The sequence below is a fragment of the Homo sapiens genome, chromosome 6 (genome assembly GCF_000001405.40).
Source record: "Homo sapiens chromosome 6, GRCh38.p14 Primary Assembly".
In the NCBI taxonomy this organism is placed as follows: domain Eukaryota; kingdom Metazoa; phylum Chordata; class Mammalia; order Primates; family Hominidae; genus Homo; species Homo sapiens.
Window position 1 is genome coordinate 35,545,672 of NC_000006.12, and position 21,784 is coordinate 35,567,455.

Genomic DNA, 21,784 nt, shown 5'->3' on the forward strand with positions numbered 1-21,784 from the left:
TCTTTATTGTAAAACCCTGTGCTGGCAATCCTAAACAATGTTGGTGATAAAATGTTCCTCTCTCAAAATCTTTTAGTTAGGATCTAAGTTTTATATAATTGCTTAGGTCATTGTTGAGAGTTTCTTTCTTTCTTTCTTTCTTTCTTTCTTTCTTCCTTCTCTCTTTCTCTCTTTTCTTTTCTTTCTTTTTTGAAATGTAGTCTCGCTCTGTCGCCAGGCTGGAGTGCAATGAAGCAATCTCAGCTCACAGCAACCTCCACCGCCTAGGTTCAAGCGATTCCCCTGCCTCAGCCTCCAAAGTAGCTGGGATTAGAGGCATGCGCCACCATGCCCAGCTAATTTTTGTAGTTTTAATAGAGGCGGGGTTTCACCATGTTGACTAGGCTGGCCTGGAACTCCTGACCTCATGTGATTCGCCCGCCTCAGCCTCCTGAAGTGCTGGGTTTATAGGCGTGAGCCGCTGTGCCCAGCCTTGAGTTTCAATTAAAAAAAAACTAAAAAACCCCTCTATCTGTGGGGAGGGAGAGCATCAGGATAAATAGCTAATTCATGCTGGGCTTAATGCCTAGGTGATAGGTTGATAGGTGCAGCAAACCATCATGGCACATGTTTACCTATGTAACAAAACTGTATATCCTGCACATGTACCCAAGAACTTAAATGAAATTATTAACCCTCTATATCCTTCAAATTAGCACATTTTAATTAGTTATCCTTTATATTCTACATGGAAGCTAATTCGGAAAATTACTCCCCCCTCAACAAACACAGCTACTTATTTGGAGAGTAGGTCCCTAAAGATTTGAAATGCTTTCTGCTCTCTTCAGTGTGGTTTGTGTCTTTAGCCCCACCGTACAACATACTTCTGCATTTAGTGAATATGAAATAAATGATGGTACACAGAGTGTATAGAAGTGATTGTATGCTGTGCTTGTAAAAATGATTAAACAACTTGAATCATTTCAATTCAGTTATATGATTGCTTGGAGTTTTAATTTGTTTTTAATTCTTTTTTTTTTTTTTTTTTATAGTTGAGATGGGGTCTTGCGATGTTGCCCAGACTGGACTGGAACTCCTGGGCTCAAGCCATCCTCCCGCCCTAGTTTCTTTTTTTTTTTTCTTTTTTTCTTTTTAGACAGAGTCTCGCTCTGTTGTCCAGGTTGGAGTGCAGTGGCACAATCTCAGCTCACTGCAACTTCCACCTCCCGGATTCAAGTGATTGTTGTGCCTAGACCTCCCAAGTAGCTGGGATTACAGGTGTCCACCACCACGCCCAGCTGATTTTTGTATTTTTAATAGAGACAGGGTTTCGCCATGTTGGCCAGGCTAGTCTCGAACTCCTGACCTCAAACGATCCACCCACCTTGGCCTCCCAAATGTTGGGATTACAGGTGTGAGCCACCACACCTGGCCTGCCCTAGCCTCTTAAATAGATGGGATTACAGGTGCCTGTTGCCATACCTGTAATCCCATCCCAAATCCATAAATTTGCTGTTTTTTGAATTTAAAACAGCAAAATAGAATGTCAGCTTAAGGTGTAGTTTTTTTTAATCAGTATAACTTTTAATTGGTACATGAAATATTTCATTTGATTGAATAATATTTTTAAAATTTGAAGTTAATTTTTTGTTTTAAAATTAAGTAATGAAGAAAATAATTATTAATGAGAACATGGTTATTAACTGAAAATCATTTCTTGTATAGAGAAGGGGGCATTGGAATGGTCCCCCAGGGTATGAAAGGCGTGAGTTCTACACTGAGCGCAGGCGTGGGAGCCCTTGCTCAGCCATCCCGGGAGCTCTGCTGTGCCAGACTATTAGCTTGGGCTCCCATCCTGGATGGCTGAGCTTCACCTTTGAGTATTTTCCTTAGGAGGAGCTCACAAGAGCAACATTCCTTGAGTTTTGCCTGTTCAGAAATGTGTGGGCTGGGTATAAACGTCTTGGGTTACATTTGCATCTTTCAGGATTTCTAGGTGTTGTTTGCTCCGCTGTCCTATAACATTGGGTCGCAGTTGCAGAGATGGGTGAGCCCCGCACATTCTTTTCTTCTTACTGGTGATTTGGTCCGTTAGCCTGTCAGTTCAAAGAATTGTATCCTTATCTGTGAACGTCAGTTCATTTGGAAATGTTGACTGTTTATATCCACTTTTATTGGGACATGGCCTTTGAAGATGCATAATCCTGTTTTCTTAGTGCTGGAAACAGTTTCAGGATTCTGTCTTCATGTTTGTTCTTTTGTTTCCTTAGGAACTACAACTGCGTATCTATTAGCTCTCTTGTCCGTTTGCCATATGTCATTTCCTTTTAGCTATCTAGGAAGAAGAGCTTACAGGGTAAACTTCCCATTTAACTATCCCCTTTCCATTTTCTCACTCACTTTGTTACAGTCCTCTCTGTGTTTTTGGTGGCATCTGCTTTTCCTGTGATACTTTCCATTTTCTCTTCTCCTCTGTGCTGCTTTAATTTTTCTCTTCCACGTATTTCCTGGGTTTTGCCAGCTCTTTCTCTCTCTCTTTTTTGAGACAGAGTCTCACTCTGTCACCCAGGCTGGAATGCAGTGACACAATCCTAGTTCACTACAGCCTTGCACTCCTGGGCTCGAGAGATCCTCCTGTCTCAGACTCCAAGTAGCCAGGACTACAGGCCTGCACCACCATGCCTGGCTTTTTTTTAATTAAAAAAAAATTTTTTTTCAAGATGGAGTCTTACTCTTTTGCCCAGACTGGAGTGCAGTGGCGCTTTCTTGGCTCACTGCAATCTCTGCCTCCTGGGTTTATGTGATTCTCCTGCATCAGCCTCCAAAGTAGCTGGGATTACAGGTGCCCACCACCAGAGCCGGCTAATTTTTGTATTTTTTTTTAGTAGAGATGGGGTTTCACCATGTTGGCCAGGCTGGACTTGAACTCCTGACCTCGTGATCCACCTGCCTCAGCCTCCCAAAGTGCTGGGATTACAGGCATGAGCCACCGCACCTGGCCATTTAAAAATACATATGTATTAATTTTTTTTTAAGAGATGGGGTCCCTCTTTGTCACCCAGGCTGAAATGCAGTGGCATGATCATAGCTCACTGCTGCCTCAAATTCCTAGGCTCAATAAATCTTCCTCACTCAGCCTCCTGAGTAGCTGGGACCACAGGTGCATGCCATGCCCAGCTAATTTTTAAATTTTTTGTAGAGATGGGATCTTGCCATCTTGCCCAGTCTGGTGTAGAACTCCTGGCCTCAAGCAATCCTCCCATCTTAGCCTCCCAAAGTGCTAGAATTACAGGCAAGAATCTACTAGGCCTGGCCTATTCTTAATTTTTTGTAGGGATGGGGTCTCACTATGTTGCCCAGGGTGGTCTTGAACTCCTGGCCTCAGGTGATCCTCCTCACTCAGACTCCCAAAGCACTGGAATTACAGGCATGAGCCACCATGCCTGGCCTCAGTTTCTTTCTTTCTTTCTTTTTTTTTTTTTTTTTTCTGAGACGGAGTCTCGCTCTGTCACCCAGGCTGGAGTGCAGTGGCATGATCTTGGCTCACTATAACCTCCGCCTCCTGGGTTCAAGTGATTCTCCTGCTTCAGCCTCCCAAGTAGCTGGGATTACAGGCACTTGCCACCATGCCTGGCTAATTTTTTTTTTTTTTTAGTAGAGACAGGGTTTTACCATGTTGGTCAGGCTGGTCTCGATCTCCTGACCTCAAGCAATCCACCCGCCTCAGCCTCCCAAAGTGCTGCAATTACAGTCGTGAACCAACGTGCCTGGCAACCTTAGTTTCTTATTTGTGCTTTGGCTTTACGGAAGAGTTTTTTTTTTTTTTAAATTTTTAAATGAAATACTTATTTGAATTTTTCACCTGCTCAGTGGTAAAAATTTTCTAATAAGTGTTCTTCAGTTTTTGTATATTTATCTTGTTCCTTTCTTCCTTTTTTCTTTTTTTTAAATTTATTTTTTATGTTGTAGAAACAATGTTTCCCTGTGTTGGCCAGACTGGTCTTGAATTACTGGGCTCAAGTGATCCTTCCCTCTTAGCCCCCCAAAGTTCTGGGATGATAGGCATAAGCCACCACACCTGGCCCCTTTCCTCCTTTTTTCTTCTAGTGTCTTTGCATAGATCCCCTACTGATTCATCTTTAATTTATTTGAGAGGGTGAGCTTTTCAGGTGGAATAAGAGCCAGGGCCTTTTCCAAGGAGTAGGTCAATGCTGGGGCAGAGTTGTCAACTGCCAGGCTGACTGTGGAAGGCACACCCCAACATGCACCCAGAGCCCCTGGGCAAAGGCTGTGAGGCTTGCTGGTTCCAGGCAGTGACAGAAATCTGTGTCATCATTGGCTGACCACTAAGCTAACCAAGAAAAGACTTCAGTAGCCATATACAACACAGAATATAGACTTCACAGAATTAAGTCAGAAAAGTCACTAAGCAAACAACAGTAATTACAACAAATCCTGGGGAGGGAGAAGAATCTATTTCTAGAGCTGCCACATCTTGTTATTCAAAATGTCCATTTTTCAAAAAAATTATGAGACATGAAAAGGAAAAAGAAAGTATGGACCCATACACAGGAAAAAAAGCAACCAGTAAAAACTGTTCCTGAGGAAATCCAAACAATGAACCCACTTGAAAAAAATACTTAATCAGCTATTTCAAATATGTTTAGCCAGGCACTGTGGTGGGCACTTGTAGTCCCAGCTACTCAGGAGGCTGAAGTGGGAGGATTGCAGGAGTTTGAGACCAACCTGGGCAAAATAGTGAGACCTCCATTTCAAAAAAAGTTTAAAAAACTTAAGAAAACCGTGTCTAAAGAATTAAATGAAAGTATAAGAATAACTTACCAAACAGAATATCAACAAAGATAGGAATTATAATAAAGAACCAAGTAGAAATTCTGGAGTTGAAAAGCACAATAACTGAAATGAAAAATTCACTAGAGGGGCTCAACAACAGATTTGAGCAGGCAAAGAATGAGTGACCTTGAAGATAGGTTAGCTGAGATGATCTAGTTTGAGGAAGGGGGAAAGGAGAGAATGAAGAAAAAGGAACAGACTAAGATCTGTAGGACATCATCAAACATACCAGCATACACAAAATGGGAGTCCCCAAAGGAGAGAGACAGAGAAAGGTGAGGAAAAAATTTGAAGAAGAAAGTGGCCAAAAGTGTCTCACATTTTATTAAAAACATTAATAGTTTACTTCAAGCAGAATAAACTCAAAGACATTCACACCTAGACACATTATAATCAAATGATTGAAAGTCAAAGCCAAAGAGACTTTTGATGGCTGGTTGCTGTGGCTGATGCCTGTAATCCCAGCACTTTGGGAGCCCAAGTCCAGTGGATCACCTGAGGTCAGGAGTTCTAGACCAGCCTGGGCAATATAGTGAGATCCCATCTCTATTAAAAATACAAAAATTGGCTGGGTGTGGTGGCTCACACCTGTAAATCCAGCACTTTGGGAGGCCAAGGTGGGTGGATCACAAGGTCAGGAGTTCAAGACCAGCCTGGCCAAGATGGTGAAACCCTGTCTCTACTAAAAATACAAAAATTAGCCGGGCGTGGTGGTGGGTACCTGTAACCCCAGCTGCTTGGGAGGCTGAGGCAGGGAATTGCTTGAACCCAGGAGGTGGAGGTTGTAGTGAGCCGAGATCGTGCCACTGCACTCCAGCCTGGGTGACAGAGTGAGACTCCATCTCCAAAAAAAAAAAAAAAAATTATCCATCTCAAAAAAAAAAATTATCCGGGTATGATAGTGGGCGCCTGTAGTCCCAGCTACTTGGGAGGCTGAGGCAGGAGAATTGCTTGAACCTATGAGGTGGAGGTTGCAGTGAGCTAAGATTGCGCCACTGCACTCCAGACTGGACGACAGAGTGAGACTGTCTTAAAAAAAAATCAAAATTTTGAAAGTAGCAAGAAGTAGCAAGAGAGAAACTACTCATTGCAGACAGCCATCCTCAGTAAGATTCACAGGTAATTCCCCATCAGAATCTATGGCAGCCAGAGGGCAGAGGGAAGATGGAGAAATTAAGACATTCCCAGATAAACATATATCGTCTCTACAAAAAAAAAAAAAAAAAAAAAAAAAAAAGCCAGGCATGGTGGTGTACACCTCTAATCCCAGCTACCCAGGAGTCTGAGGCAGGAGGATCACTTGATCCTGGGAGTCTGAGGCTGCAGGATGCTATGATCATGCTGCTGTACCTCAGTCCAGGTGATGGAGTGAGACCCTGCCTCTAAAAAATTTTTTTAAAATAAAGATCTGAGCAGGGGTAGTAGTGTGCACCTGTAGACCCAGCTGCTCCGGACCCTGAGGCAGGAGGATCACTTAGCCCAGGAGTCTGAGGCTGTATGTGCGATGATCATGCCTGTGAATAACCACTGTACTCCAGCCTTAGCGACATAGTGAGACCGTGTCTCTGAGAGAAAAAAAAAAAAAGGAAAAAAAAGAAAAGAAATACTTCAGATCAATAACTTAAGCTTCCATCTTAAGAAACTAGAAAAAGAAGATCAAACTAAACCAGAAGCAAGTAGAGGGAATAAGATCATAAAAATTAGAGTACAGATAAATAAAATAGAGAATAGAAAAACAATAGAGTAAATCAGTGAAACCAAGAATTGGGTTTTTAAAAGATTAACAAAATTGACAATGCAAAGCTACTCTTCTCCCATCACACAGTCTGATTTCTGCAAATACGGTATTTCAGTTATCTGTTGCTGTATGACAAATCACCCCAAAACGTAGTGGCTTAAGACAGCAGCAACCATTTAAATAAAAATTCTGTATTTTAGGCAGGCTCTGTGGGTATGACTCAACTCTGCCTCCACATGGTGGTGGCTGGAATTGCATGCATCCAGAAGCTCAACTGGGCTGTAACTTCCAAGATGTTCCACTCACAGCTGGTAGCTGGTGCTGTTAGCTGAGGCTACAGTTCTGGGCTTTTCCTTGTTCTATCTTGGGCTTCCTTACAGCATGGCAACTGCATTCCAAGAAGGAGTGTTTCAAGTATTGAGAGTGGAAGCTGCCGATGTCCTGGAGACCAACCTTGAAAGTCACACAACATCACTTCTGACACCTTCTATTGGTCAAAGCGTGACACAGCCTGTCCAAATTCAAGGGGAGGGGAAACAGACTCCACTTCTTCATGGGAGGAGTGGCAAAGAAATTGCAGCCATCTTTATTCCATCACATATGGCTTGCCTGCATGATTCCTCAATTGGCCGCTTTTGCTTTGTTCCTTGGGAGCAAAGCAGACCCAGGGGTGTTCTTGCAGCTGCTGTTGATCTGCTCCAGTTGCTGCAAAAAGATTTTATTTATTTACTTATTTATTTGAGATGGAGTTTCGCTCTTGTTGCCCAAGCTGGAGTGCAATGGCGCAATCTTAGCTCACTGCAATCTCTGCCTTCTGGGTTCAAGCAATTCTCCTGCCTCAGCCTCCCGAGTAGCTGAGGTTACAGGCATGCGCCACCATGCCTGGCTAGTTTTGTATTTTTAATACAGACGGGGTTTCTCCATGTTGGTCAGGCTGGTCTCGAACTCCCAACCTCAGGTGATCCACCCACCTGGGCCTCCCAAAGTGTTGGGATTACAGGCGTGAGCCAACGTGCCCAGCCAAGATTTTATTTTTATACACTAGGGTGTGCCCCTCGCCCTCAAGGCATGCACTTTGCTGCTTCTCACATTTGGGTGTGTGTAGGGGGATGGGAAACCAGGCAGAGAGGTCATGGGCACAGACTCTGGGGCCAGATGGCCCGGGTTTGAATTCTGCCCGTGTCACCTGCTTACTGTGTGACTGTGCGCAGTCACGTCATCTTTCTGAGCCTCAGCGTCATTGCAAATGCTGTGCAAGTGTTTGCTTCTGCAGTTGCTACTGCTCTATCTGCAGCCACAGGCACCCTCTGTGATCTTCCTCCTGTCCCTCTGCTGGATCCCTGCTGCCTTCAGCACTCTGGCCTATTTTAGTACTCAGGATCTCGGGTAGCTCCTAGGTTTACTGGAAATGGATTTTATGTTTCTGTATCTCATTCTCCATGTTGCTTCTCATGATTTTTGAGAGGAGGGAGGAAAATGCTAATTTTATTCTACCATACACAAACCAGAAGTCCAAAAAAAACAATTTTTTTCTTTTTTTGAGACAGGGTCTTGCTCTGTCGCCCAAGCTGGAGTGCAGTGGTATGCTCTGGGCTCACTGTAACCTCTGCCTCCCAAGTTCAAGCGATTCTTGTGCCTCAGCCTCCGAAGTAGCTGGGATTACAAGCACAGGCCACCATACCGGGCTATTTTTGTATTTTTAGCAGAGACGGGGTTTCATCATGTTGGCCAGGCTGGTCTTGAACTCCTGACCTCAGGTGATCCACCCACCTCAGCCTCCCAAGGTGTTGGGATTACAGGCGTGAGCCACTGTGCCTGACCCAACAAAAACAATTTTGAAGAGGAACAAGAATAAGCTTTCACCACCAGCTATCATGATTAAAACTATGGTCTTGGCACATGGATAGCTGTGTGTCTTTGTCCCTCTTTATCCATCCTAATGGAACAGAATTGGCAGCCTAGAAAGAAATCCAACGGGTGCAGGAGTTTGGCTCTGACAGAGGTGGCATAACAAACCATGAAGGAAAGAATGGACTAAGCGGTACGTGGTGCTGAAAAAGCTAATATTAGATCCTTACCTTCCACCATACAAAGTACATTCTAGACTAAATACCTACACAGTGTCCGTTTAAATATAGAGGCCCTGGCCGGGTGCAGTGGCTCACACCTATAATCCCAGCACTTTGGGAAGCCGAGGCGGGCGAATCACTTGAGGTCAGGAGTTTGAGACCAGCCTGGTCAACATGGTGAAACCCTGTCTCTACTACAGATACAAAAATTAGCCAGGTGTGGTGGCACACACCTGTAATCCCAGCTACTTGGGAGGCTGAGGCAGAAGAATTGCTTGAACCCAGGAAGCAGAGGTTGCAGTAAGCTGAGATCACACCATTGCACTCCAGCCTGGGCAACAGGCTCCATCTCAAAATAAATAAGTAAAAATAAATAAAAAATAAAAATGGTGGGCCTAACATACACTCTTCTCCCCATGGAAGCCCCTTTCCTCTGAAAAGACAGTAAAGGAATTTAAGAAGTATCAAGCCAAAAGGACAAAGGGAATGAACAGGACAGGAGAGAGCAGCACACAGCGCTGGCAGAATTTTAGAAGCTGGAAAGGGGATGGCTGGAGGGTGACAGAGTCAGCAGCAGGGAGAAGGTGGCACCAAGTATGCAGAGGACCTGGCCAGCCAAAAGGAAGTGGGTTTGTAACGCAGAGCCTGCGCAAGGCAGTAGGTGCTTCTGAAGGGGGGTGTTCAGCATGGGGCTGAAAGAGAGGAGAAGCTGAAAGTCTTCCAGAGACCACTCCCATTACATGCAGCCAGGCAGCTGCCCCTCCCTGCTCCAAGCGGAACACTGGCCTCTTCTCTGGCAAGGCTGTGCCATATACATGTTCAACTTGGTGACCTTGGCAACCCCAGACTCAGCTGAGGATGGAGGGAGGTAACAGCCTGGAAAGAGCATGGGTGAGTGGATGCTGACTTCCAGGAAAATTCCTCTCTGGGGAAATGGACCAGCTCAAGAGGAAAAAGCCACAGAGACTTCCATTCTGGGGCTTCCCAATAACCTTTCTTTTCTTTTTTCTTTTTTTATTAATAGAGACAGGTTCTCGCTGTGTTGCCTAGACTGGCCTTGAACTCCTGGGCTCAAGCGATCCCCCTGCCTTTGCCTCCTAAAGTGCTGGGATCACAGGTGTGAGCCACCTTGCCCAGCCCCCAATAACCTTTCATATGACAAGTTGCTAAGCCTCACCTAGAATCAAGGACATAGAAATCAAAGCAACAGTGAGATATAATGTCCCATAAAATTGGAAAAAGTTAATGGATTTTCTAAAACCAAATGGTGGTAAATATGTGGGAAACCTGAACTCATACTCACGCTGATGGTTTTTGGTAAACTAGTACAACTACTTGGGAGTTTGTCAATACCTAGTGAAGTTGCAGATGCTTAGACCCTATGTCGACTTTCATACATGGACACAAGGAGACAGGTGTACAAGGATATGTGTCGTAGCACTGTTCACAATAGTAAAAATGTGGGAACAACCTAACTGTGCCCCAAGAATGGAATGAATATAGTTGATAAGTTGTCTCTTAAAAAAAAAAAGCTTTTCCGCCATCTTCCCACGACGCCACCATGGTGTGCGTGAACGTCCTGGCCGATGCTCTCAAGAGCATCAACAATGCCGAAAAGAGAGGCAAACGCCCAGTGCTTATTAGGCCGTGCTCCAAACTCATCGTCCGGTTTCTCACTGTGATGATGAAGCATGGTTACATTGGCGAATTTGAAATCATTGATGATCGCAGAGCTGGGAAAATTGTTGCGAACCTCACAGGCAGGCTAAACAAGTGTGGAGTGATCAGCCCCAGATTCGGTGTGCAACTCAAAGATCTAGAAAATGGCAGAATAATCTGCTTCCATCCCACCAGTTTGGTTTCATTGTACTGACAACCTCAGCTGGCATCATGGACCATGAAGAAGCAAGACGAAAACACACAGGAGGGAAAATCCTGGGATTCTTTTTCTAGGGATGTAATACATATATTTACAAATAAAATGTCTCATGGAAAAAAAAGAAAAAAGACAGGGTCTTGCTCTGTCACCCAGGCTGGAGTGCAGTGGCACAATCATGGCTCACTGCAGCCTAGAACTCCTGGGCTCAAGCGATCCTCCCACCTCAACCTCCCCAGTAGCTGGGACTACAGAGGCATGCCACCCTAACCGCCTAATTTTTAAATTTTTTGTAGAGATGAGGTTTCACTATGTTTCCCAAGCTGGTCTCAAACTCCTGGACTCAAGTGATCCTCCCACCTCAGCTCTCTAGTAGCTGGTACTATAGGCATATGCCACCACACGGGCTAATTTTATTTTATTTTATTTTATTTATTTATTTACTGTTTATTTATTGAGACAGAGTCTCGCTCTGCCACCCAGGCTGGAGTGCAGTGGTGCAATCTCGGTTCACCGCAAGCTCTGCCTTCTGGGTTGATGCCATTCTCCTGCCTCAGCCTCCCGAGTAACTGGGACTATAGGCGCCCGCCACCACACCTGGCTAATGTTTTTTTTTCTTTTTTGTATTTTTAGTAGAGACGGGGTTTCACTGTATTAACCAGGATGGTCTCGATCTCCTGACCTCGTGATCCGCCCACCTCGGACTCCCAAAGTGCTGGGATTACAGGCGTGAGCCACCGTGGCTGGCCTTATTTATTTATGTTTTTAAAGAGACGAGGGTCTCACTGTGCTGCCCAGGCTGGTCGTGAATTCCTGGCTTCAAAGGATCCTTCCACTTCAGCCTTCCAAAGTGTTGGGATTACAGGCATAAGCTATGATACCTGGCTGATCCTGTCTCTAAAATAAAAAGAAATTTTAAAAAGTGAGTTGCAAAAGCATCACCCTTTTTAACCAGATCCTTAACTGTAAGCAACAGAAAATCCTTCTGACTTTAAGCAGGAAAAGGATTCATTGGAAGGATATTGGGTAGTTCACAAAATCACTGAGAGGGCTGAGGAACCAAGATCCAAGACTAAACCATTTCTGCAGTTAAGCCCCAGCCCTTCGGCTGGCACAGCCATCGCCTGCCAGCTCTGGGCAGGTACAAGGGAAGCTGCCTCTGATACTACTGCCTCTGCTACCCTGGAAATTTTCCACAATTGCTTCTGCCTCGTGCAGCCTCTGCAACTCTAGTGCTGAATGCCAAGTTAGGGGAAGTGGGTCTGGCCGGCAGAGCCTAGGTCACATGCCTACCCCTATTGCAAGGGCAGGCGGGCAGCTGGCCTTTCAGCCTTTATGGTGGAAGTGGGCTCAGCCTCCTACATAGGAGGGGGTCTCAAACACTGAGCAGCTAAAAGAATGATAAATGGGGCTGGGCTCGGTGGCTCACATCTGTAATCCCAGCACTTTGGGAGGCCGAGATGGGTGGATCACCTGAGGTCAGGAGTTCGAGACGAGCCTGGCCAACATGGTGAAACCCCATCTCTACCAAAAATACAAAAATTAGCTGGATGTGGTGGCAGGTGCTTATAATCCCAGTTACTTGGGAGGCTTAGGCAGGAGAATCGCTTGAACCCAGGAGGTGGAGGTTGCAGTGAGCCAAGATCACGCCATTGCACTCCAGCGTGAGTGACAAGAGTGAAACTCTGTCTCAAAAAAATAAATAAAAATAAAAATTAAAAAAAATAATAAGTGGGTACATTGCTATCATTTATGTAAAACTGATGAACACCCAAAGCAATGGACTGGATTGTGAATACAGAGATGGGTAGTTAAAGTATAAATCACTAATAGGAATGATATACACTAACTCCAGGAGTGTAGGTACCTCTGAGAAGGGACGGTAAAAGGAAGGATGTGGGACTCTAGTTGTATCTGTAACATTTCTTTTCTTAAAAATAAAACCTCTGGGCTGGGCGTGGTGGCTCACGCCTGTAATCCCAGCACTTTGGGAGGCCAAGATGGGAGGATTGCTTGAGGCCAGGAGTTCGAGACTAGCCCGGGCAACATAGTGAGACCCCCATCTCTCCAAAAAAACCTAAAAAGTAGCCAGGGATGGTGGTACATACCTGTAGTCCCAGCTACTAGGGAAGCTGAGGCGGGAGGATCACTTGAGCCAGGAGGTGAAGGCTGCAGTGAGCCATGATCAAGCCACTGCACTCCAGCCTGGGTGACAGAGTGAGACCCTGTCTCAAAAAAATAAAAGAATAAAACCTCTCAAAGATGGCAAAAATGTTCATATCTGTTTATGCTGGTGGCGGGTACATGGGTATCACTATATTCTATACTTAACTGTAGGAAATATTTCCTAATTTCAAATGGAAAAAAATTACTTCAATGAATCAGAAATATGTGCCAAGCAGCTCGGGTCCCTTCAGGTGTTTCCTTATGTAACCATTTACTTGTGAATTAGCCCTGTGCCCACCAAAGGAAGTAGAAAGCTTTGCTTGCTCACACCTGCCTGTCTTTCCACGTGTCGCATTCTCCGTGAGAATGGCAGGGCACTCGGCTGAAACTGTGAGGCTGATGAATACGTGACCTAGTGCTGGTTACTGGAAAGGAGTGATTTATTTCATTACTGAAATTCTAAGTCCCTAGGCTGGGCGCGGTGGCTCACACCTGTAATTCCAGCACTTTCGGAGGCTGAGGCAGGTGGATCGATCACTTGAGGTCAGGAGTTCGAGACCAGCCTGGTCAACATGCTGAAACCCCGTCTCTACTAAAACTACAAAAATTATCTGGGTGTGGTGGCACATGCCTGTAATCCCAGCTATTCGGGAAGCTGATGCAAGAGAATTGCTTGAACCTAGGAGGTGGAAGTTGCAGTGAGCCGAGATCATACCACTGCACTCCAGCCTGGGCAACAGAGTGACTCTGTCTTAAAAAAAAAAAAAAAAAAAAAAAAATCTAAGCCCCTTAACAAGCCTTCTGAGAAGTTATCGAGTTTGGAAAATCAGAGACAAGAAGAGAAGAGAGAATAAGAATCTCAGAAAAGTGGGAAAGATTTTGTCAAAAAAAGCTTTTGTTTAGACATTGACTCTACTGCATCCAGTAGAAATGAATTAGTGTGTTTCTATATGATCTTTTCTTTTCTTTTCGTTTGAGTCAGGGTCTTGCTCTGTCACCCAGGCTGGAGTGAGTGACACCACCATAGCTCACTGCACCCTCTAACTCCTGGGCTCAAGTGATCCTCCCACTTTAGCCTTCCAAGTAGCTGGAACTACAGGCGTGCACCACCACTCTCGGCTAATTTTAAAATTTTTTGTAGAGACGAGGTCTCAGTATGTTGCCCAGGGTGGTCTCAAACTCCTGGGCTCAAGCAATCTTCCCACCTCAGCCTCCCAAAGTGCTGGGATTACAGACGTGAGCCACTGTGCCCAGCCTATATATGATTTTTAATAACAGGATATCAGTTTCTCCCTGTCCAGCTTCCAACCCCTACCCCATAAATGTTTAGCAAATATTTAAAGACTATAGCTTTGAAAGGTTACCTGCAGGGTCCAGCCCCACAGGCTCAGTGGGTCTCTCCCCGTGTGCGGAGACGAGAGAGTGTGGAAATAAAGACACAAGACAAAGAGATAAAAGAAAAGACAGCTGGGCCCGGGGGACCACTACCACCAATGCGCGGAGACCGGTAGTGGCCCCAAATGTCTGGCTGTTATTTATTGGATACAAAGCAAACGGGGCAGGGTAAAGAGTGTGAGTCATCTTCATTGATAGGTAAGGTCACGTGGGTCACGTGTCCACTGGACAGGGGGCCCTTCCCTGCCTGGCAGCTGAGGCAGAGAGAGGAGACAAAGAGAAAGACAGCTTACGCCATTATTTCTGCATATCAGAGACTTTTAGTACTTTCGCTAATTTACTACTGCTATCTAGAAGGCAGAGCCAGGTGTACAGGATGGAACATGAAGGCGGACTAGGAGCGTGACCACTGAAGCACAGCATCACAGGGAGATGGTTAGGCCTCCGGATAACTGCGGGCAAGCCTGACTGATGTCAGGCCCTCCACAAGAGGTGGAGGAGCAGAGTCTTCTCTAAACTCCCCCGGGGAAAGGGAGACTCCCTTTCCCGGTCTGCTAAGTAGCAGGTGTTTTCCCCTGACACTTACGCTACCGCTAGACTTCGGTCTGCCTGGCAACGGGTATCTTCCCAGAAGCTGGCGTTACCGCTAGACCAAGGAGCCCTTCTGCTGGCTCTGTCTGGGCATAACAGAAGGCTCGCACTCTTGTCTTCTGGTCACACCTCACTATGTCCCCTCAGCTCCTATCTCTGTATGGCCTGGTTTTTCCTAGGTTATGATTGTAGAGCGAGGATTATTATAATATTGGAATAAAGAGTAATTGCTACAAACTAATGATTAATGATATTCATATACAATCATATCTAAGATCTACATCTAGTATAACTATTCTTGTTTTATATTTTATTATACTGGAACAGCTCGTGTCCTCGGTCTCTTGCCTCGGCGCCTGGGTGGCTTGCTGCCCACAGTTACCAAATTGTGACTGTCAGGGTTGCCACATCTCAGCTTGGCCCTGAGTATACTTTCTGGAACATAATGTGAGCATAATATATGTTAGCTATTATTACTCAATGACCAAAAAAAAAGGAAAAACAACAACAACAACAAACAAATAAAAAATGGGCAAATGCCCAGTGTGGTGGCTCATGCCTGTATTCCCAGCACTTTGGGAGGCCAAGGTGGGAGCATCACATGAATCCAGGAATTCAAGACCAGTCTGGGCAACAGTGAGACTCGGTTGCTAAAAACAAAAAGCTAGGTGTGGTGGTACATGCCTGTAACCCTAGCTACTCAGGAGGCTGAAGTGTAGAGATCACTTGAGCCCAGGAGTTCGAGGCTACAGTGAGCTATGATCGCATCACTGTATTCAAGCCTGGGTGCCGCAGCAAGACCTTGTCTCTAAAAAACAGAAGGAAAAAAGGGGGGAAAGACTTGAATAGACATTTCTCTGGAGGTGATACACAAATGGTCAATAAGCATATGAAGAGATGCTCCACGTCGCTAACTTCCAGGCAAATGCAAATCAGAACCACAAAGGGATAACACCTCACACTCACCAGAATGGCTGCTCTAAAAACAAAACAGAAAATAACAAGTGTTGGTGAGGACGTGGGCAATTGGGACCTTTGTGCACTGTTAGTGGGAGTGTAAAATGGTGCATCTGCTGTGGAAACTGTATGACAATTCCTCAAAAAATTAAAAATAGAGTTACCCTTTGATCCAGCAATTCTACTTGTGGGCGCAGAACCAAAAGAATTAAAAGCAAGGTCTCCAGGAGATATTTGTATAGCCATGTTCATGAGAGCTATTTTAATAAGCCTTTGCATTAATCCTCGGGCACAGGGTATGATACAGCATCCTACAAGAATAAGGAACCCTATTTTGATGGTAGGAGAGGTGAGGATTGAGGACATAAGTCCCTTCCGTTTGCCGAACCAATTTCCCATTAAATTTGTGAAAGGGCCGTTTAGTCTAGAATTTTTGCTAACTTGTTGGATAAGGAGGTTAGGCCTTGCAAAGCCTTTGTTATTGTTTTGTCGGGGGCTGTGTTATTAGGGATAAAAGTATAACATTGGACTTTAATCATGACACAGACTCCGGCCTCTTTCGCTAGTATTATGTTTAATGCTATTCTGTTTTCCCAGGCCATTTGACTGGTGGGTCCTGATTGTCCAGCTATCCCTTTAATAGTGTCTCTAGTATACTTAACAAATCGTTGTTGGTTGTAATAAACGTAATTTGTCTAATCTACATTTTTGTTTATAGTTGACCACCAAAACAGCACAGATTAAAACCCTGCAGCTATTTGATTCTGGGCTTTAAAGTTATCTGGTACTCTTTGTGGAATTCTAATAGCGTCTATATAAATGTGAGGGTTAGAAGATCCAGTGGAGTGCTTTTTATTTTTTTTTTTAACTCGGTTCTGACTTTCTTGCTTACTGTGTTGGCGGAATGCCAGGGTGACAGGGATGGCCAATTGAACGAGAGCACAAGTGCCACTCCAGTGACTCGGCAGAGAACTTCATAGTAGTTTCCCGCAATACCACCATACGTCTGCTCGGGAGTGAGTAAGGGCAGCTTGACTGGTAAGTTCTTGGAAAGGCTTAGTCTCACTGCACCATTTTAGGTCTTTGAGAGACATTAATTTCTCCCCCTGCCGTGAGAGACCCGAGGTAAAATTAACATCTGAGGCTGGAGGCCGGGTGGCCCCTGGGGGCTGATCCACAGAGCCTTTGACTTTGGGGAATAGCAATGAGAGTCTTGTGTGGCTTGCTGCCCCAGGTTGTGGAGTTTTGGAAGAAACTTACCATGCAGCTTATGCCCAGTTCGTTAGAAGACCATCCAAGAGGGAAAGGGACTATTTGAGCCTCTGGCCTGTCTGTTGCACCAGTGTAACAGTTGTTTTTATTTAGTGTGCAAACAGAATATTTAACCCATTCCAACCAGGCATTTGCATTTTGGTATCCTGTCTCGACTGCTAAAGTTTGTTTTAAATCTCTAATATTTGTAATGTCGACTATGGCTTTGTTATTGGAAAAAATAACAGTCTGAATGAAAGAAGGCTCTGGAGAAGGAGAAAGGGAAGGGGGTGGGGGATCAATGAAGCACATTTCAAAAGATCCTATTGGGTCTGTCCCAGAATGAAAATTAGCTTCTAGGCCACAGAAATGGCTTAGAGTGGGGTTAGCATCAGTGGAGGTGGGGACAGTGATGAAGATTTGTATAGGGTTACACTGCTGAGGCTGACAATTAGGGGGAGTTATGCCTTTGGTAAGGTGGATATCGGGCTTTAGATTAATGCAGCTTCCTCCTGGGGAGGTCTAGCCTTGATATTTCGTGGTCCAGAGTTCATCTCCCTAACCATAACAGAACCTCCACCCCGCGCTTTGTGCACATCTGGTACAAGTTTTATTATTATAGGCAGTTTTGTTTATTTTGGAGGGGCAAAGGTACTTATTGATAGAGGCTAACTTTCTTTGGTTTTGGAGATCCTTCAGGGTCTCCTCTTCATGAGGAGGGTTGGGTTTTTCTTAGCTTTAGTTAGGTAGCACTTTCCCCTGGAACAGTAGCCCGTGACTCCGGAGGTGGTGATGTTTTTTCACTCGAGTATGATGAGTTCATCCTTTTTTTGCTGTTCGGATGCAGTTTCAGTGGCCAGGAGCACTAGATAAGGTCCTTCCCAAGCTGGTTCAAGCTTTCCTTTTTTCCACCCTTTGATGAGGACGGGAGCTGATGTTGATGTTCTGGGAATTCCAGGGGCAGCACCTGTGCTAAGAGACCTTTGGTTTTAAGAGAAGAGAAAGTGGAAGATAGACCAAGTATATCATTTTTGAGGAACTGACATTTTGTTTTAAATGTAGGAATGTCAGTAGTGGAATGTACATAAGGTAGCCCATATAGCGTTTTATAAGGGGATAAGCTGATATCTTTCCAAGGGATGGTTCTGATTCTTAATAAGGCAATGGGGAGACATTTAGTCCAGGGTAGCTGGGTTTCTAGGATTAATTTGGTGAGGTGGTTTTTTAAGAGTCTGGTTCATTCTTTTTACCCTTCCTGCCAAGGGATATGGCATTCCTGTTTTATGTCTAGCACCTGGGCTAGCTTTTTAATGACACGTGCAGTGAAATGGGTTCCATTGTCTGAATCCATGTTTTCTATTAGTCCAAACCTGGGTATAATGTTTTTAACTAATGCTTTAACTACATTACTGGTGGTTGCACTTGAGAAGGGGGTGGCTCCTACCCAGCGAGTAAAGTGGTCTGCTATTACCAACAAGTACTTCAGGCAAACGACTGGGGGCATCTCAGTGTAATTAATTTGAGCACTTTGGAATGGTCTTAGCCCTGGATTTCTGCCCCCAGTAGGTTGCCTTTTTAGGATTTGTTTATTAGTTTTTCTGCACACTCTGTAACTGCTTGCTTAGCAAGAGTGTATATGCTTATACACCTGTAAACTCTAAGGACTGCACCACACATGGCTTGGGGTCCCCAGTGAGATCCTTGATGGAGCTGCGACAATATTTCCCTCATGAGAGGTTTAGACAACATTTTCTCCCATCTGGTAGTACCCACCTTCCCTCTGAGCTTTTCTTGGCTCCTATTTCTTTTAACATTTTTTTGGTCTTTATGGGAGAAGATGGGGACCGCAGCTGGAGGGGAAGGCAAGGGGCTGAATGGAAAATGGGTACTGCTTGGGAAAAGGCAGCTTGCTTGGCTATTTGGTCAGCTAGATTATTTGCCCGGCTTTCAAAGGAAGGGTTTTCTTTTTACTATTTTCCTGGGAGTTTTTAATTTGACCTCGATTGGAGGAACTGGTAATTTCTCTCGATGTCCTTTTTTTGACCATGTATCAGGATGGATACACTTTTCATAATCTGTGGTGGTAAGTTCAGGGAGGTGAGAAGTTTTCCCTGATTAATGTAGAGGCTTAAGCCAAATTTTAACATTAGATCTCTCCCTAATAGGTTTGTTCTTGCCTCTGGAATTAACAGAAATTTAATATTAGCTGATCTGCTTTTATATATGACTTTTGTTTCTTTTTCCCATTTGGGACATTCTCTTTTGAAGTGACCTATTCTTTTACATTTGAAACATTTGTTTTGTCTTCTTTCTCTCTCTCTCTGCCTCTCTTTCTCTCCCTCTCCCTCTGGCTCTCTGTCTTTTCCTCCCTCTCTCTCTCTGTCTTTCTCTTTCTGCCTCTCTTTGTCTCTCTGTCTCTCCTTGCCTCTCCATCTTCTCTCTTTGCCTCTCTTTCTCTCTCTCCCTGACTCCCTCCATTCCCTCTATAGGCTGATCTTTCCAGTTCTCTGTTTTTGTAATTTCTTTGTGATATTTGGCTACTAGTAACAAAATGGAGCTTTAACATCCCCTGTCCAAGGGGATCCTTTATGTTTAAGCCTGTATATTTTCTTACCTGTTCCTTGAGTCTGTTTAAAAACTCCGTGGGCCCTTTGTTTTTTCCTTGCTGCATATTAAATGCTCGGGAAATATTTTGGGTTTGAGGCACTGATTCCCGAATCCCTTTAACTATCATTTTCCTAAGGCCTTTCATGTTTTCTTGGTGGGCTGCATTGTTATTATCCCATTGGGGGTTTTGGGCCGGCGATTTTTGTTCTGCTGCAGGGATATTTTGACTGGGAAGGTGTTTGCGCTCTCAGACTATCATAGCAGCCCTGCGGATCATGGTTCTTTCCTCTCCCGAAAAGAGAATACTTAAGATGGACATTAGCTCAGCCCAAGTGTATACTTGTGGTCCTAAAAATCGGTTAATTTGATCCACAACCCTAAAAAGATCATCTAATAGTGGTTTAAGTTTCTTCCTTAGGTTTCTGACCTCTGAACTAGTTAAGGGGCATTTACAAAGCCAATTTCCCCTCCTCCTAGAGGCACTTCCCTTAAGGGAAAAAGGGTTGGGGTAGACTTTTTTGAGGAGGAGGGGAAAGGGAAATTTTGAATCCCATGTGCTAGTGGACTGTTTGGGGTTAGGGATTTTACTTTCTTTAGGGGAGGTATTTTCTGGCTTTTTTTCCTGCAGTTTTTAGGGGGTAGAGGACAGGCCCCTGCCGCCAGTGCAGGGCATAGTCTATTTCTTCCTGGGAGACAGGACTTTTGTTATTTACATACTTTATTAAAAGTTGACAAATCTAATCCTTATTTGACCCAAAACTTGGCCAGAAAACTAAAGGTTTAAGAATAGTTTCTTTGGTTCAAAAAAAACAACAATATTTTATCATCTGTTGCTTTTTCTTATGTTTGGTCCTTTGTAGTTCTTGTTTTACTAGGGGTATTTCCCATCCTGGAAGTTAATGGGGGCTCAGTCTCTCCTATTAGAGATTTCTTGCACCCTTTTCCCTGAAGGCTCAACCTGAGTGTGTGTGGGGCTCAACCTCTTTTTTTTTTTTTTTTTTTTTGACACAGAGTCTCGCTTTGTCACCCAGGCTGGAGTGCAGTGGCACGATCTTGGCTCACTGCAAGCTCCACCTCCCAGGTTCACGCCATTCCCTGGCGTCAGCCTCCCGAGTAGCTGGGACTACAGGCGCCCGCCATCACGCCCGGCTAATTTTTTTTTTTTTTTTGTATTTTTAGTAGAGATGGGGTTTCGCTGTGTTAGCCAGGACGGTCTCGATCTCCTGACCTCGTGATTCACCCGCCTCGGCCTCCTGGCTCAACCTCTTTTACTAGAGATTGTTTTTTTTTTGCTCCCTTTCCCTGGAGGCTCAGCTCCCCCACTGGAGATTTCTTGCACTCCTTTACTTTACTCCACACTCGCTTTGCACTTAATTGTGCATCTTATTTACACACTTTTAACCTCCAAACTGTCCCTACCACCAAGGAAGTACTTCACCACCCCCACAGTTTTTCTTACCTTGGTCTGTGCATAGCGTTACCTGCTCACCACAGTAACTGTAGGCCTTTTCTTCCTGTGTTGCTAAGAGTCTGGGTTTATTGGTTGCACTGGGTGGGTCCCGATTCTTTACCCTTGAGGCCACTGCAATGAGTTAGCGGGATGCGTCTCCTCATGAGAAGTGATCAGAGACCCTTTCCCGGAGGAGAATGAGGTCCCCATATGGGCCACCAAATTTGTTGGAAACAAATGCTCAGTGCTGCAAAGAAGAACCAGCACTGAGACAAAGGATCTCTCAGCAAGGCAAATTTGCTTCTGCAGAAGGGTGCTTCTTGTAGGTCTGGTCGCCACGAGAGCACCCCAAACAAAGGAGGGAAGGGGTTTTTATTCCTAACACAGCTTGTGCCCGCTACTGTGTCCTGTCTCCATTGGCTGGAGCTGGACCAATCCAAGCTGAACCCGGTTGGCTAACTTGAAAAGTGCAAGAATGCGGTTACACTGGTGGGGGGTGGGAGGAACAGTTTCTGCGGGGAGGGTCGTTGTGACGGGAGGGGTAATTCACAGAGTGGGTAGCAGATGTGGAATGTGGGCTGTATAGATAAGGACTGGTGGGAAGGTTGTTTACCAGGGCAGGGGGACACAGAGAGTAAGGAAGTCTGGCCTTGAAAGGAGGGAACAGAGGACAAGGAAACTTAAACAAGCTAAACCTTTGAAGAAGAACTTCTTACTGTATTTAACACTAGCCTGGCCAACATGGTGAAACCCCGTCTCTACTAAAAATACAAAAAAGCCGGGCATGATGGCCCATGCCCAGTTACTTGGGAGGCTGAGGAACAAGAATTACTTGAACCCGGGAGGTGGAG

General features: G+C 44.8%; 1 long non-coding RNA gene and 1 pseudogene across 1 annotated transcript, besides 1 other annotated feature; one reads left to right on the forward strand and one right to left on the reverse strand.

Moving 5' to 3' along the window:
• RPS15AP19 (ribosomal protein S15a pseudogene 19) lies at positions 10,175 to 10,633 on the forward strand (annotated as a pseudogene).
• Positions 17,464 to 21,280, reverse strand: LOC124901310 (uncharacterized). The gene is made up of 2 exons (XR_007059562.1): positions 20,943 to 21,280; positions 17,464 to 17,857 (listed from the first exon to the last, which is right to left on the reverse strand). It is a non-coding gene; the product is annotated as an uncharacterized LOC124901310 (long non-coding RNA).
• Positions 20,994 to 21,194: a silencer, noted in NCBI's record as "fragment chr6:35534442-35534642 (GRCh37/hg19 assembly coordinates)". NCBI's record gives its function as "represses an EF-1alpha promoter that drives an FKBP-Casp9 reporter gene in an ReSE screen in phorbol 12-myristate 13-acetate-treated (for megakaryocytic differentiation) K562 erythroleukemia cells {active_cell/tissue: K562(+PMA)}" and the evidence as "EXISTENCE:reporter gene assay evidence [ECO:0000049][PMID:32094911]".